The following is a 15,437-nucleotide window of genomic DNA, read 5'->3' on the forward strand; positions in this document are numbered from 1 at the left end:
TGGACAAGTTCCGACCCCTCTCAGGGGTTCAACATCTTCCTACCTACATGAAGTGATGGGATCAAACACCTCTGTGGCCCTCTCTAGTCTATATGTTTGCATTTCTAACTGTAGAGCATGATAAAAAAATAAATCAGAAGTCAGTGATCTTTAGGTTACTAGTCAGGATGAAACTCAAAAGATCTATTTTTAAAATTATGAGTATTGGGTGTGGTGAAAATATTCATATTTGGGGTCAGAGAGTTTTTCTAATAGAATCAATTCTAGAGCATTCAGACTTGCTCTCACCCCAAAGAGGAAGTGAATGAAAGCTCTTCTTTCTCCTCTGCTGCTTTCTTTGTCCATGGGAGTATGCAAATTTTTCTGGCAACACAGAAGACTGAACACAGGAAGCCTGAACCCCGTGAAGCCATAAGGCTTAGCATGGGTGTGGAGGGTGATCAACCCCTCATCTGTCATTCAGAACTCCATGCTGCAACACAGAGGGGAAAAAAAACCTTCTGCTCCCTGTTTCAACCTCAAGGGCAGAGAACACAGGCCGAGTTGCTGTTCTTGTCTCACAATCTGGAGGCCAGAAGTCTGAAATCAAGGTGTCGGCAGGATTGGCTCCTTCTGGGAGCTGCGAGGGAAGTATCTGTTCCAGGCCTCTCTCCTTGGCTTACAGATGGCTGTTGATATGGTTTGGCTGTGTCCTCACCCAAACCCCATCTTGAATTGTAGTTCCCATAATCTCCACGTGTCATGGAAGGGACCCGGGGGAGGTAATTGAATCATGGGGGCAGTTACCTTCACGCTGTTCTCGTGAAAGTGAGTGAGTTCTCAGGAGATCTGATAAGGGGACTTTCCTCATTTTACTCACTCAGTTCTCTTCCTGCCACCACTTGAAGAAGGACGTGTTTGCTTCCCCTTCTGCCGTGATTCTAAGTTTCCTGAGGCCTCCCCAGCCATGCTGAACTGTGAGTTAATTAAACCTCTTGCCTTTATAAATTACCCAGTCTTGGGTATGTCCTTATAGCAGCATGAGAATGGAAATACAGCCATCTTCTCCATGTGTCTCTTTACATTGTCTTCCCTCTGTAAGCGTTCGTTTCTGTTATAAGACACTAGTCTTATTGGATTAGAGACTGTAATGACCTCATTTAAATTTGATTACCTCAGTAAACACACTATCTCCAAATAAGGTCACATTCTGAAATATTCAGGGTTAGGACTCCAGTAATATCTTTTTGTGGGGAGACACACTTCAATCCATAACATACTATAAGAGAAGGGAGCGCTTACCACTGTCCATTACCTGGAACCAGTTCAGACAACCATCATCTTTCTACATGCGATGGAGAAAACAGTTCACCTGGGCATTTTTGCTATGACAGGAGGAAACGTCAATATCAAACCATTGGAGAAGGTAGCTGAGTCATTCATTTGTGGCAGCAACCATCTTTCCTTCCCGCACCCCCTGGCTAGGCTGCTCCATGTTGGGAGGTGGTGTGTTCAGTACAGCCACAGTGAGCTAAGTGAGGGCTTCAGCTGCAGGCTGGAGTGACCCAGGGAGGAACTGCCGCCTATCAAAAGGAAACACCTGCCACAGAAGGTTCACTGAAGCCTGAGAAAATAAACGTCAAGAGCTCTGGGCTGTGCCACCACCAGTCTCCACCACTATTCTGAGGCAGAATGCACCTATTGGCTCACAATGCTGTGAAAGAAAACAAGAAAGTCGTGATGGTGAGCGCTGCCCTGCAGAGATAATGAGCCACTAGAGTAGTTCTGAGGCAGGAGCCAGAGGAGCTGTGACACAGAGGCAGTCAGGGAGTGGGACTGGGGTCACAGGAGGGGCTGGACCCAGTGGTCTAGTGCCTCATCTCATTCCAGATATGTGACCTAAGATCTGCATGTGTGTGCCTGTGCATGTGTGTGCCTATGTGTATGTGGATATGTGGCAACATATATGTGCATGCATGTAAGTGAGTACACATGCATGTGCATGTGGTGGGGTGTGGGTGACTGGATAGAGGGAGCATGGGGAAAGGGAGGGAAAAGAGGGTTAAAACCGTGACAGGATAATAAGCATCTGAAATACTTAACTACAACAAAATGTTCTGAGGCTTTGTACAGCCTTATTTTCCAAACTGCAGGTTGTGGCTCAGCAGTCAGCTGGGAAATCAATTTACCCATGCAGAGATTCTTAACCTGGGTCTGTGGACACTGCCCTTTCCCCACAAGAGGCCCAAGGATAGAATTGTATTTCAATATCATTGATTTCCTTTGTAAGCCTAAGAGTTTTGCTTTATGCATTTAAAAACACTACAAGAAAGGATCCATAGGCTTCATCACATGGGGTAGAAATGGCACGTGCACACATGCATACACACACACACATACACACAAACAGATACACACACACACACAAACACATATACACACACACACAAGGTTAAAAATCTCTAGGTCAAAACCAGCATTTTAAAAAGTTATTAAGATAACTAGATTATAAAGAAATTAAAAAATTTGAGCTATGCATGTAATGAGGGTACTGTTTTGTGAAACTGGTTTTAGATATACAAATACTTGTGTATATAAAATATACATATGTATATGTGTGTACATATTTATGCACACACATTTATTTATTTGTTTATTTTGTGATGGAGTCTCGTTCTGTCACCCAGGCTGGAGTGCAGTGGCATGATCTCAGCTCACTGCAACCTGTCTCCCGGGTTCAAGCAATTCTCCTGCCTCAGCCTCCTAAGTAGCTGGAACTACAGGCATGCCACCATACCCAGCTAATTTTTGTATTTTTAGTAGAGACGGGGTTTCACCATGTTGGCCAGGATGGTCTCGATCTCCTGACCTTGTGATCTGCCCGCCTCAGCCTCCCAAAGTGCTGGGATTACAGGTGTGAGCCACCCTGCCTGGCCATTTATTTTTAACTGTAGGGCATAGGGCAAAAAATTGATAGCTAGTGTTCAATAGCCTACTGGACATTAGGGTAAAAGATTTTTTTAAAAAATTTTTAAAAATTATGAGTGAGGAATGTAGTGGGCCATTTGTGTTTCAGAGTGGAGGGCTCTGCTATTAGGCAGACATTTGACTTTTCACTCGGCACATCCACATTCCAGCCAGTCTCCCAGTGAATGGTGATAAGCTGGCCCTGATCATGCCTGTATGGCTACACCCCTCTCTGCCTTGTTGAGGCCTGAGTTAATTTGAAGTGTTGCAGAGACATGTGTTGATTCCTGTGGCTACAAGGCTCCCGGAAGTGTCAGAGGCAGAGGTATTGTTTCCTGGGAGGGGTGTCTTCCTGTGTACCGCTGGTGTACCACTGGTGTATGCCTGCCCAGAAGTTTGTTCTTTCACACCCACAGGGCCACCTGAAGAAACAGAGATAGGGTCTCCCACGGAATGGGGCAGCAAAAGAAGTAAAGCAAAAGTGAAGAAAAGAGAAATAGGGGGCAGCAAGTGTTCAGGAAAAGGGGGGTCAGATAGGAGAGAGAAGCAAAGAGAAAAATCAAAGTGTATAAAGCAAGTGGCGGGACTCGCTGAGCTGTAGGTGTAGTAAGAAGCTATCACACCAGCCTGTTAGCTCCCTGCAGGATTCACAGCATCAAGGATGGTGAAACCGAAAGAAAGAAAAGGTAGTTCAGCAGGAAAGATCAACAAAGACAAATCCTGGGACGAATCCAAGCTGCTATTAGAATCGAACCAAGCAAAGATATGACCACCTATGTTAGCGACCTGTTGCTTAGTTTATTTTAAATGAAACTCATATTTACTTGATTAATTTAGAAAATCTGAGATTCACTAGAGCAGGAACTTTGCCTTCCTCAGTTCCTAGACCAGTACCAGTTACATGGTGAAGGCTTAATAAATATTTATAAAGGAATGTTAATTAATCAGCTGGTAATTGATATGTAAAATTGCTTGAAATTATAAAATAATAGTGACAACTAAAAGTAATACAGTGCATAATAGTTTAGAAATCAACTTCATGATTATCTCATTTAATCCTCACACAGTCCCATCAGGTATCACCATGATCATCCTCACCTTAAGAATAAGACACTAGTTCGAAGCCACTCTATGATTTGTGCCTGGGATTTTAATCAATATTCTCTGATGCAAAAGCCAACCTAGCACTTTGCCTCTTTGGTCATGTTGTATGTGCCCACTCATGATAAGTGCTTGGTATATTTAAGTAGTCATATCCATAGTAGGTATAGGTATCAGTTTGGATTCTCCAGGAAGCAGAATTACGAGTGTATGAGGAGGAGGGGGTCACACCTGGGAAAGATAAAGGGAGACTGATCAAGGTGGGGCAATGTATTAGTCCATTTTCACACTGCTGTAAAAAAATACCTGAGCCTGGGCAATTTATAAAGGAAAGAGGTTTAACTGATTCACATTTCCACATTGCTGGGGGAGCCTCATACTTAGAATCATGGCGGCAGACAAAGAGAAACCAAGGACCTTCTTCACATAGTGGCAGGAGAGAGAAGAGCCAGTGAGTGAGGAAGTGCCACTCTTTTAAAATTATCAGATCTCATGAGAACTTCCTTACTACCATGAGAACAGCTTGAGGGAAACCTTCCCCATTATCCAATCACTTCCCACTAGGTTCCTACCTTAACACCTGGGGATTACAACTCAAGATGAGATTTGAGTAGGGGCACAAAGCTCAACCATATCAGACAGGGGTGCTGATGTGCCACTTATGAAAGGAGAGGCAGAAGGAAGCAGGATGGAGCTGGGAGTGTCTCAGTCCATGATGTAGATCTGACGAAGTCTTAGCCAATATAATGGAAGTCCCATAGCAAAGACTGCCTGCAAGAGAGTCCCACACTGGATAGAAATGGCCTGGCCTGGCCATGAACCTCCATGCTCAGGCAATGTCTGGGTCTGCCTAGGATGTGCATGGCCTTGGCTTGAAAGTTAAGGTGGATTCTACAGACGGTGTAGCTGGATGCTGTTGGCTAACTGCACATCTTGCAACCCGACAGCAAGTTATTCCTTGAAGGGAAAAGCAAGTGGTGCACCTCATGACTATATATGTTTACATTTTTAAAGACATGACATTTTAATATAATTCCCACTTAAATACTTTAGCTGGCTATTGTTTTCTTTACTATACCCTGACTTTCTAGTTAGTGAACTATAGCCAACATAGAGACCAAATGTCCCAGTTTGAAAATCCTAAATTCCTACCTACAGGGTTGAGAGAAGAGAAGGGATTATGCTAGATTGAGCAATTAAAATTTGATACACTGGATCAGGTCAACTGTTACAAAAACACAGGTGCTGCCAGTCCATTTTTCATATCCCTGGCAGACCTGGCCGATTGATCACAGCACTCTTCCTTATGAGTTGTGTTGTCTGCCTCAAAATTATTTTCAACATTGTGATCCAGACAGCCATTCCCAATCTATCACCATTGGCGCCTAAGATGAAACCAATTTATCATCCCATCACTAGGTAATAGGGGAAAAACACAGGTCTTGGAGCAGGTGTGTGTGCTCAAATGCTTGTGAGGGTGCTAATGAGAGTGTGAGATTGAGGGAGAGGTGATGAAAATACACACTTGAAATTATTTATCAATTAGAAGGTTATGTTTTAATTTTTTAATTAATAAATCTGTTTAAACCCAGAATACCTTTTTCCCAGAGGCAATATTACAAATAAGGATTATATACAAAAGTCAGCATCTAAATCCTTACCTATCTATATATAAGTATTACTGCATTTGCTTTTGGATCCTAACAATAAACTCAGTGCTCATTGACCTTAACAAATAGGGTTTTATTCTTTCTCCCATAAAAAGAAATCTGTAGGTAGGCAACTATCAGCATAGGTTCAGGGTTTTAGCAACAGATCTTTGTGATTCTCTTGCTACTTTCCTTGTAGTTACAGAATGGCTGTTGTTCCAGGCATTGTCTTCAATATTATTTGGAGGTAATTCATCAGGAAATATAAAACTCTCTAAGTAGTCTCCCCCAGAAGAATTCCATGTACATTTCATGGGCCAGACAGGATGACATGACTGTCCCTAGCTTCAAGAAAGATGGGCAAACCACATATTTTATTTTCCAGCCTCTGTGCTGGGAGGCAGCAAGGGAGAAGGGGTTAGACATAGCTTTTAGGTAGCTTGCCAATAGGGAATGGTACTTAGACCTAAAAGATAGCAGTACTAGTTTTCTAGAGGTTAAAATAATACTCGATGTTCTCAAGCATGAGCAGAAATATCCTGCGTTCACTCCTTTACTACTCACTTCCGCTTTCTAATAAAAAGAATTTGATAAATATAATGAGCATCTCAGTATATTTGCCAGGTGAGTGTGGATTCTACACGTTTGTGCTTTAGCAAAATAAATTACTACTTTGAATTTTAATAGACTTATGTCTTAAAATCCAGTCATTGGATAGATTTAAGGTGAAATGCTGTTGATACATTACTATTCATTGTAGGATTAACCCAACAATCCACCACAATTTAAATGAGAATTTAAAAATCAAATTAACAGTGAGTTATAATGAAAGGTAAGAATGGCAGAAATGGAAATCTCCAGCCCACTCATGATAACAACACTCAAAATGTATAGCCTATTTACTAAAAATTACAGAAGTTCCAAACTATCTCCTTGTCTCTAAGTGAGTCACATGCCAGAATTAACAGTTCTTTGGTGCTATGCAATCTTCTTAGTATAGCACAGAATTAAGTCATTGGTAAACTGTAATAATGTGCTAATTTTAGATCATTATGCCATAATGTAGTAATCCTTAGTAAATACTTAGTAAGTTACTAGAAAGTAGCTCTTCATCATATGCAAAAAATAAAACTGAAGACATTGCATGTCATTGGCTTCCAAGAATTGGAGAAAGGAAATTTTAGAGTCAGTTTTTGGTTCATCTATAGGACAGTATGTTGGATCATATTGTAAAGAATTGAGATGCATAGATGAGAGCACTAGTTTGAAATCAACAGCTGGATTTGACTCCATTCCACCTCTGACAACTTAGGACAAGTGTCTTAAGCCCTGCATAGCCCAGTTTCCTCATTATTAGACTGGCAACTACTAACACAGAAACTATTCTACTTACAATATGGTTGTAATTGAATCTGTTTGTTGGAAATTCCAAAGTGACTAAGCTTGCTGTCACAAATGCACTTCCAGGAATAGGAGCATGAATCAGTTTCTCAAAGCTTTTAATAAAAGCTGGTGTTCTTGTTTATGCATGTTCAATGCCATGTCTGCCTAGGTGATAAAATAATGTTTGGTGCATAGAAGGCACTAAAAATATAGCTTTTGAATGAGTGAAGGACATTTTCCCCAAAATTATTGTCATTTGTCATTTGTCTCTGCTGGAAGTCTGTGGGGGCAGATAACTGTTCTTGGGGATCTCCCAAGTGTCCTGAGGAGGTCCTTAGGAGCCACAGCCTGCATTCTCGTCGCCTCGCCCCTCATGTGGATGTGAACCAGACTGGAAGAGGCATCCCTTTGCCTTGAGGCAACAGTTTCAAGAGCAGAGTCTCTTTGGCCAGCTCTTAAACTTCTCCCAAGTTAGCCCTCCCCGGAATGAACAGGAGGCTCCTCTGCCCATCTAGTGTCAAGGTGCCGACTCAAGAAGTCATCCTTTGTCTTCCTCTTCCATTCTCTTGCTGATATTGTCCACGGACACAGGCACAGCACTTTTGTACGTTGCACGATTTGCTCTTTGCCCTTTATAATCATTTCTACTATTGAATAATTCATCCTATATTCGTGTGAAGAGTTCCTCTTTTTCTCATCACTTCCAGTTTTTAAAAATCTCTTCTGTTTCCATGGTAATTGTATATATCAACAAGGACTTTGAACACTCTCCATTTTCTTGGATTTATTGAATCTGATGTGGTTAATAATGCTTGGGAAAACTTCTCAAAAAAAACTCTCACAAACACAGCAAATGCATTGATGGTGAACAGCACAGTTTTTGAGTTCAAAAGGCAGCAGTGTACATTCCATATCATCTGCTGTTACCATGTAGTATGTTCTCACAGGAGAGCTTGGGATTTTATCTGTGAATATCCATAGGTTGAAAGTTGGTAAGCAAAAGAACATCTGTAACTAACCTACTCTTTTTCTGCAGGTTTGTTGTTGGGATAAAAGTTAACGTGCTCTAGTGCACTGTAGCCTATAAAATGTTATCCTTTCTGTGACGCATGCCCCATTTCCACCATGCCATGTGGGGACACAAGGAACAGATCTTTGTCCACAGGAAAAGTGGAAACTCAGAGTTGAATTTCCTCTTCACTCCAAAGCATGACTATGCATGCACACACACACACACACACACACACACACACACACACACGTGCGCGCACACACACACATGCACTCAAACTCCTAAGAGCTGGAGGCAGGGATCCTGGCTCAGAGTTAGAGCTCTCACAACAGGAAGGATAGAGACAAAATTCCTAGTTGCTGATCACTTGCTAACTCTCTTCATTTTCAGAAGAAAACACCTCCTGGCATTTGCTTAATGGAAGGCACCTTTCTAGTCAATCACTTGACAAGTGTTCTGAATTGGATTTTAAAAGGACAGAGGTTGAGATTAGGGTTAGGGATTTTTATTACATCTCAAAGTGCCTGTATAAATTACACAGTGGGGATTTTCAGTTGAAAGCTTTTCCAGTTAATAAACAGGAGACTCATGTATCGGCATTTTTGTAATGCTATAAGAATGGGGAAGTGTAGGTTCTGGCACGTATTCATGTAAACAAAAAGTGAGTGACGAATTTTTACCTTGAGTTTTAGAATCACACTCTTATAAATAATTTACATACAAGGAGAGATCATAGAGATAACCTGTAGAAAAACAGAAAGATGAATTTTTTCCAGCTAAACTTGTCTTGGTGCAGAACTATCTTGGGCATATCAGATTTTATAAAGATACTTTTCCTCTTACATTTCACACTTCACTTTCACTATCCAGAAGCCAAGTGGAGGCATTTTCCCTGATGAGTGGGAGTTGTAAGGACTAGCTCAAGAGTAGAATAGGCTTAGGCAAAACTATAATGTAGGGGAAATCATCCATGTAACCTGAATCCTATTTTAGTGTCTTGAGCCTAAGCCCTATCTTAATCCCCAGAACCCCAAAGTTCTGCAGACAAAAAGTTCCCCATAGAAGTGGCCTCCTGATCTTTAAACAGAGCCATGGGCTTAATCTTCCTTTTGCTGCCATCTAAAATTTAATAATTCTAATATTCATTTCCTCAGGGCCTTAGCTTGTGGACAAGCTAATGTATGCCAACATACCCAGAGTTCTTATGATCTAAAAGTGTTATTCTCCTGGGTAAGTGGTAAGTAGTTTGCATTTCAACAAGGATAAATAAATGCCTTGGTTCAAAAGAATGACAGGGTAGGGTTGTTAAAAATATTACTTCCTCCAGGAAGCTTCTGCCTCCCTCTACCCTCATGGATTAGAAGTTCCCAGGAAGGCTCCTATGTAAAGCATGCTTCTCCTGTCATGGTATTTGGCACCCGTCATTGACAACACTTGTTTAATAAGCTCTGTGGGTACAGCCCCATGTATATTCATACACATATACTGTTGTATTAATTCCCACCACCCGGCTCCCTGATGGAACACTTGAAGGACATTAATAAATACTGTCTGTTGAAGAATGAACAAAGCTAAGGGTTTCAGGGACTCTAGAAAGATAATAGAGTGAGGGAGAGACAAGCAGTATTTGAAGGCCAGATGGCTTTCACTGATGCTTCCTACTTGGTTATTTTATAACTGACAAACCTCTGAAAATGCCACTTAAAAGTAATAGTTTTCAGTATCACTTTAAGTGCTTTAGAATCACACTCAGCATTGGATGTAAATGGTTAAGGAGGGTAGCCTCGGTCTGCTACTGCCATAGATACCTTTAATATACAGAAATTACACAGAAAGTGTCATGGCATTCTTGTTTTACCCAGTGAGAAAATCCACTGTTCAAATCGAAACCAATATGGAAATTACTCCTTCCATCAAAAGGAGCAGAGGACGAAAACAAAAACAAAAACAAAAACAAAATCTCCTCAGCTCCACAGTGATGACATAGAAAGTTCAGATAAGAAAGAGAAAGAAGGCTTTGGGAAAACAAAAATAAGAAAGTATTTCAATGGCATTCCAAGTAAATAGTGGCTAGAGTTTTGGCTCAATGTACTAGCAACACAGTGATAAGGGCTCTTCTCAAAGTAAAGTGAACTTGGAGCAAGTGAATGAGGAAACACTGAAAACGGGTGGGCTGAGAAAAATGCACCCTCTCAGAGCATGCAGTGAAGGCTCAGCTGAATTAATACAAGGAAAGGAAATTTTACCCCAGACTATAGATCACTCGTTTAACCTTTCTCATGAGAGTCTTCTTCAGTTGTTAGTGAGGGGGAATTGTAGATTTATATTAGACCTGCATTGTAATATAACAGAGTTTAGCAATGCACTGTGGCTAAGACAGCTATATAACCAACTGGATGTAGTTCTTAGTGATACCACACTCAGTCATTTTCAGTTCTGCTTTCCTTTCGTTTTCCTTTTTTCCTTCTCATTTTCTCTCTTTCTATCATACATCAAGTTAAAGAATGTCTTTATATGCTGCCATAGACAAATATATATGAACCAGGTAGACCAAGAAACTAAGTAGTACACAAAGTGGCCAAACCCAGTAAAAGCCTATAACTTCTACACGTTTTACACATACACACACACACACCACACTCATTTAATTCCCTCAACACCTCTACTCTATAAAAATTTTATGCCTCCCCTTTTTTTGGTTTAGTAAACAAATTCAGGTAGGCTCAGTCATTTGACCAATGACAAACAACTAGAATATGGAGCATGAATTTGAAGCATCAGAGTCTGTACCCTTTTCTCTGAATATTTTGGGAGATAATTGGTACAAAGTAAATAAAAATCAATATTGTCATTATTGTCTACTTAGATAACAATGCAGTGTCTTCATTCATAATGGATTGCAGTTCCCCACTCAGGAAGAGGACATTTTTTTTAAAACTACATGATACAACTGAGAGCTTGGAAGCTATCCATGCATAAGTTTTAAAACCCAGCAGCTTCATGGTTTCCTCCTTCTGTTGGCCTGGCCAGTGGACACAGTGGTCACGTTCCTGGCATGGAGATGTCATTCATGGTAGGTGTTCTTGAATTGGAGCCTAAGGCTCCAGGACTTTTGTGGGTTCCTCCAGAATCCTACATCCTTATACACTCCCACGGGGTGCCTGCCCAGGTGAGTGGCATGCTTCATGGTATCCTTTCAGACTCTATCACTCCTACTTCTCCAACCCTGACTTACAATATGACCTGGGGAAGGATTAGAATGTTGGTATATTTTAATTTGCTCCTATGCCAAATCACAGTGCTTATATTTGCAACTCTGAGAATTGATGGGGACAATACATAGATTTAGAATTCACATGTGTGAGCACCATGAAGTACTTTGAACTTCACTAAATGGGGAAAATACAAGACACTACATTTAGAAATTGTTTAGGAGCAGCAAATGGAGAGAAGCAACATTTTTGCTTTAAAAAAAAACAACATCACAACCCCTTGATTATGTGCAGCACACAATTTAACAGGTGTGTGATTTATTCATTTATTCACAGACTCATGGACCAACCATTCCATCACAGCACTATTGTCTGTGAAGCAAAACACATTTACAGCAAACTGTATCAGCTCCTCAGAGAGACTGAATTAACCCATCTAAAAATCCTTTGCTTCCGATTGAAAAAGAGGGTTAATATCATCCAAATGATGAACATAAATAAACTTTACCTCAGTAAAGTTCTTTCCATCTTTGGATTTCTGGGTCATCTCTAACCAGTGCTTGATATGAAAGGGGGAAAAATAAAACTTGTGTATTATTTTTAGTGGATAAATGGAATATAATTGTTTCTCCATGTGTATCTAGAATTATGGCCTTCTTGGGGAAAGTACTACAGCCCCTCCCTTCCCTGCTCACTCATCTCTTTTCTTGGGAGAAAGATGGTTTTTCTGATTGGTGAGACTGGGGAAAACTTGATACCCACTCTGCCAGGTTTCTTTACCTGACAAAGTTAAGTGTTCATGAGTCATTTCTCTTTTTCTCTAGGTCTCTCAGACCCAAGTGTTACCAGTGAAGGGTGTCCAGGTTCTTGGCGCTTTGAACAAAGAATTGGACAAAACTCACAAACAAAGCAAGAAAAGAAAGAAGCAACAAAAGCAGAGATGTATTGAAAATGAAAACACACTCCACAGGGTGGGAGCAGGCCGAGCAAGCAGCTCAAGGGCCCAGTTACAGAACTTTCTGGGGTTTAAATACCCTTTAGAAGTTTCCATTGGTTACTTGGTGTACACCCTATGTATATGAAGTAGTGGCCTGTGATCAGTCTGATTGGTTGGAAGGGACCAATCAGAATGCAAACGTCTGATTAGTTGTGGAAAGTGACCAATTAGAGGCTGAAGTGAAGTTACAAAGTAATACTCCCACGCAAATGAAGACTTGGCCCACAACCAACCTGATTGGTTGTGAGAGGGGACCAATCAGAGGGACTTTCAGTTTTTCACCTGCAATGCAGAAAAAGGGTGGCAGGTGAGGGGTGTTGCAAAGGGAGTAGCCTCTGGTCCTTTTGTTACTTGGGCACTTGGGCGTGGAAAGTGGGGGTTTTCCTTTTGATTTAGTTCTAGGAAGTCAGCGTGAATTGGCCTTACATTCCCTGCCTCCAGACCCTATTCTCCTGCCTCACAAGTGCTCCTAGGAGCTGTACATGCCTGTCTTTGTCCCCATGTAGTCAGCTCGTTACAGGTGGGTCCTGCTGGGTCTTTCGTTCTTGCTTCTCTGCTTCAAGATGGCTAATAAGTCCTGGTCCAGTGAGTCCCCAGTGCAGACATAGAGCAGAAGGGAAGTGGGTCCAGTTGCATTTCCTGCAGTTTAATAAAGAACCCTGTGCTCTCTGGCCCATTACCTAAAGCTGATATTGTGCTTGGAACGTGTAGTGTTATCCAATCCAGCTTTACCACTGCTAAAGCTGATACCACGCTTTGATCCTCTGCTTGCTCATTTTGCCAAGTTCTTAACTGCGTGGAACTGGAAGGTGAGGGCTGGATGATTGATTTTTCACCCTGCCCCCAAACTCCAACAACCGAAACCAAGGGTTCTTGAAGAGAGAGGGGCAGGGCAGCAACAGGGAGACTGAAACTTGGGGTGGGGGGGGGGCGGGGGGAGGGGGGCGGACGGAATGTTTTTGAAGTGTGTGTTTGCCTAAGGTGTGTGTAGAAAGGTAGCTACTTTTCAGTCTCTGCCTGCCTTTAATCCATTACAATGTCCTAATTAAAAACATTTAAAAAGCTACATTGGAAAATGATCCCTGAGGCTAGAATGCTGTTGGCACAGTGAAAAAGACGCAATCAATAAGTAAACAGGCAATGTCAGCCCGGAGAGCTTTCAGAACAACATGCCTACTCGGGGGAAAAAAAATTACAAGTCGCTTTAGCCTATTTAAATATTTTCCAAGATCTTTGTTAAATTTCAGGTAATAATATTTCTTCCTTTGAACAAGCGTTGTATGTTTGCCTTTGACTGAGAATGGCCTAGGCTAGAGACCATTTGGTATTCAACTTGTGACTATTTTAGTATGGGGCTGGACCCCAAAAATTCATGCTCAATGAAATGATTTTCACTTACTGAGATGAATTTACTTTTTGCTTCCTTCAGCAATTCATCAATCTAATGGAAGAAAGAGTAGCTATCATCATAATGAGAATAGACTTCTACGAGTATGAGTCAATGTCAATACTTTATTTAATAATGCAAATTCTATTACTATATATTTGGTCTCAATCCAAATTTGCTTTAAATTGAGTTTCCTTGCCATTGCACACTCCTATCTTTCTGAACACACACCACCCCACACACACACCATACACACTTGTTTCATTGCGCTTCATTTTATTGCACTTCTCGAAGAATGTGTTTTTTACAAATTGAAGATTTGTGGCAACTTTTCATCGAGTGAGTCTATTGGCATCATTTTTGCAAGAGCATATGCTCACTTCCTGCCTCTGTGACAGCATTTTTTAGCAATAACATATTTTTAATGAAGGTATGTACATTGTTTTTTAGACATAATGCTATTGCACACTTGACTAAAATGTAGCCTAAGTATAATTTTTATATGCCATGGGAAACTAAAAAAAGTGACTTACTTTATTGTAATATTTGCTTTATTACTTTGGTCTGGAACTGCCTCACACTATCTCTGAAGTATGCATGTATAGCTTTTCATAACACAGATATCACATTTGACCAGATCCTATTGTTACTGAACAATGTTGATGCTAACATTGATGATATCAATCACTATTACTGGAATCATTATCAACATATCAATAAATATTTTTAGAACATTTTGAAATTGTCAGCTGGGTTTTGGTTAAATACTTCTTGTCTGATATATTATATCCCAAAACAATAACAGTAGCTGAAAATACCAGAGAAGATATACTTTTTAAAGTAACATATTGTCATAACGTATAAGTATCAAAATTTCATACTGCAGCATGACTGACATAAAGAACACTTTGTTGTTGTTGTTGTTGTTTTGTTTGTTTGTTTGTTTTGAGATGGAGTCTCGCTCTGTCACCAAGGCTGGAGTGCAGTGGCACAATCTGGCTCACTGCAACCTCCACCTCTCTGGTTCAAGCAATTCCCCTGCCTCAGCCTCCAGAGTAGCTGGGATTACAGGCGCATGCCACCACGCCTGCCTAACTTTTCTGTATTTTTAGTAGAGATGGGGTTTCACCATGTTGGCCAGACTGGGCTCGAACTCCTGACCTCAGGCAATCCGCCCATTTTGGCCTCCCAAAGTGCTAGGATTACAAGTGTGAGGCACCACGCCCAGCCACAGAACACTTTTAAACCACTGAACTGATAAAGGGGCTATAAAACTCTTCTATTTCATTCTTTTTTTTTTTGAGACAGAGTCTTGCTCTGTCATCCAGGCTGGAGTGCAGGGTGGCAATCTCAGCTCACTGCAACCTCTGTATTCCAGGTTCAAGCAATACTTGTGCCTCAGCCTCCTGAGTAGCTGGGATTACAGGTGTATGCCACCAAGCTCAGCTAATTTTTGTTCTTTTAGTAGAGACGGAGGTTTTGCCATGTTGGCCAGGCTGGTCTCGAACTCCAGACCTCAAGTAATCTGCCTGCCTTGGCCTCGTAAGTGCTGGGATTTCAGGCATGAGTGACTGCACCTGGTCTATTTCATTCTTTATAAGCAGAAAACTCTAAATACTTCTAGGATAGGTGGTTCTGAGCAGTAGGCATCTATGTATTTAAGAATATTATGGAATCTTCTGGTTTCTCCAATCCTGTCCACCTATCTTCATTAGGATGTCCTGGGCGTCTCATGTGTTAGCAGTGCCGT

General features: G+C 41.2%; 1 long non-coding RNA gene across 2 annotated transcripts, besides 11 other annotated features; it reads left to right on the plus strand.

Moving 5' to 3' along the window:
- Positions 61–320: an enhancer, noted in NCBI's record as "active region_20209". NCBI's record gives its function as "activates an Ori minimal core promoter by ATAC-STARR-seq in GM12878 lymphoblastoid cells {active_cell/tissue: GM12878}" and the evidence as "EXISTENCE:reporter gene assay evidence [ECO:0000049][PMID:35858748]".
- Positions 61–660: a biological region, named in NCBI's record as "H3K27ac hESC enhancer GRCh37_chr3:107843148-107843648".
- Positions 115–615: an enhancer, noted in NCBI's record as "H3K27ac hESC enhancer chr3:107843148-107843648 (GRCh37/hg19 assembly coordinates)". NCBI's record gives its function as "activates a minimal SCP1, AML or CMV promoter by ChIP-STARR-seq in naive H9 embryonic stem cells {active_cell/tissue: H9 hESC(naive)}" and the evidence as "EXISTENCE:reporter gene assay evidence [ECO:0000049][PMID:30033119]".
- Positions 401–450: an enhancer, noted in NCBI's record as "active region_20210". NCBI's record gives its function as "activates an Ori minimal core promoter by ATAC-STARR-seq in GM12878 lymphoblastoid cells {active_cell/tissue: GM12878}" and the evidence as "EXISTENCE:reporter gene assay evidence [ECO:0000049][PMID:35858748]".
- Positions 521–660: an enhancer, noted in NCBI's record as "active region_20211". NCBI's record gives its function as "activates an Ori minimal core promoter by ATAC-STARR-seq in GM12878 lymphoblastoid cells {active_cell/tissue: GM12878}" and the evidence as "EXISTENCE:reporter gene assay evidence [ECO:0000049][PMID:35858748]".
- LINC01215 (long intergenic non-protein coding RNA 1215) lies at positions 878–14,424 on the plus strand. 2 transcript variants are annotated; one of them, NR_110028.1, is made up of 3 exons: positions 1,635–1,722; positions 10,958–11,164; positions 12,128–14,424. It is a non-coding gene; the product is annotated as a long intergenic non-protein coding RNA 1215 (long non-coding RNA). The 2 variants fall into 2 exon arrangements; NR_110030.1 differs by lacking the exons at positions 1,635–1,722; positions 10,958–11,164 and adding an exon at positions 878–956.
- Positions 941–990: an enhancer, noted in NCBI's record as "active region_20212". NCBI's record gives its function as "activates an Ori minimal core promoter by ATAC-STARR-seq in GM12878 lymphoblastoid cells {active_cell/tissue: GM12878}" and the evidence as "EXISTENCE:reporter gene assay evidence [ECO:0000049][PMID:35858748]".
- Positions 1,211–1,290: an enhancer, noted in NCBI's record as "active region_20213". NCBI's record gives its function as "activates an Ori minimal core promoter by ATAC-STARR-seq in GM12878 lymphoblastoid cells {active_cell/tissue: GM12878}" and the evidence as "EXISTENCE:reporter gene assay evidence [ECO:0000049][PMID:35858748]".
- Positions 1,791–1,890: an enhancer, noted in NCBI's record as "active region_20214". NCBI's record gives its function as "activates an Ori minimal core promoter by ATAC-STARR-seq in GM12878 lymphoblastoid cells {active_cell/tissue: GM12878}" and the evidence as "EXISTENCE:reporter gene assay evidence [ECO:0000049][PMID:35858748]".
- Positions 6,869–8,068: an enhancer, noted in NCBI's record as "BRD4-independent group 4 enhancer chr3:107849902-107851101 (GRCh37/hg19 assembly coordinates)". NCBI's record gives its function as "activates an origin of replication core promoter dependent on BRD2, P300/CBP, MED14 and CDK7 cofactors, and independent of BRD4, by STARR-seq in HCT116 cells {active_cell/tissue: HCT116}" and the evidence as "EXISTENCE:reporter gene assay evidence [ECO:0000049][PMID:35650434]".
- Positions 9,737–9,896: a silencer, noted in NCBI's record as "silent region_14595". NCBI's record gives its function as "represses an Ori minimal core promoter by ATAC-STARR-seq in GM12878 lymphoblastoid cells {active_cell/tissue: GM12878}" and the evidence as "EXISTENCE:reporter gene assay evidence [ECO:0000049][PMID:35858748]".
- Positions 12,387–12,526: an enhancer, noted in NCBI's record as "active region_20215". NCBI's record gives its function as "activates an Ori minimal core promoter by ATAC-STARR-seq in GM12878 lymphoblastoid cells {active_cell/tissue: GM12878}" and the evidence as "EXISTENCE:reporter gene assay evidence [ECO:0000049][PMID:35858748]".
- Positions 14,425–15,437: the final 1,013 nt, after the last annotated feature.

This window comes from Homo sapiens, chromosome 3, assembly GCF_000001405.40.
Source record: "Homo sapiens chromosome 3, GRCh38.p14 Primary Assembly".
Taxonomy (NCBI): domain Eukaryota; kingdom Metazoa; phylum Chordata; class Mammalia; order Primates; family Hominidae; genus Homo; species Homo sapiens.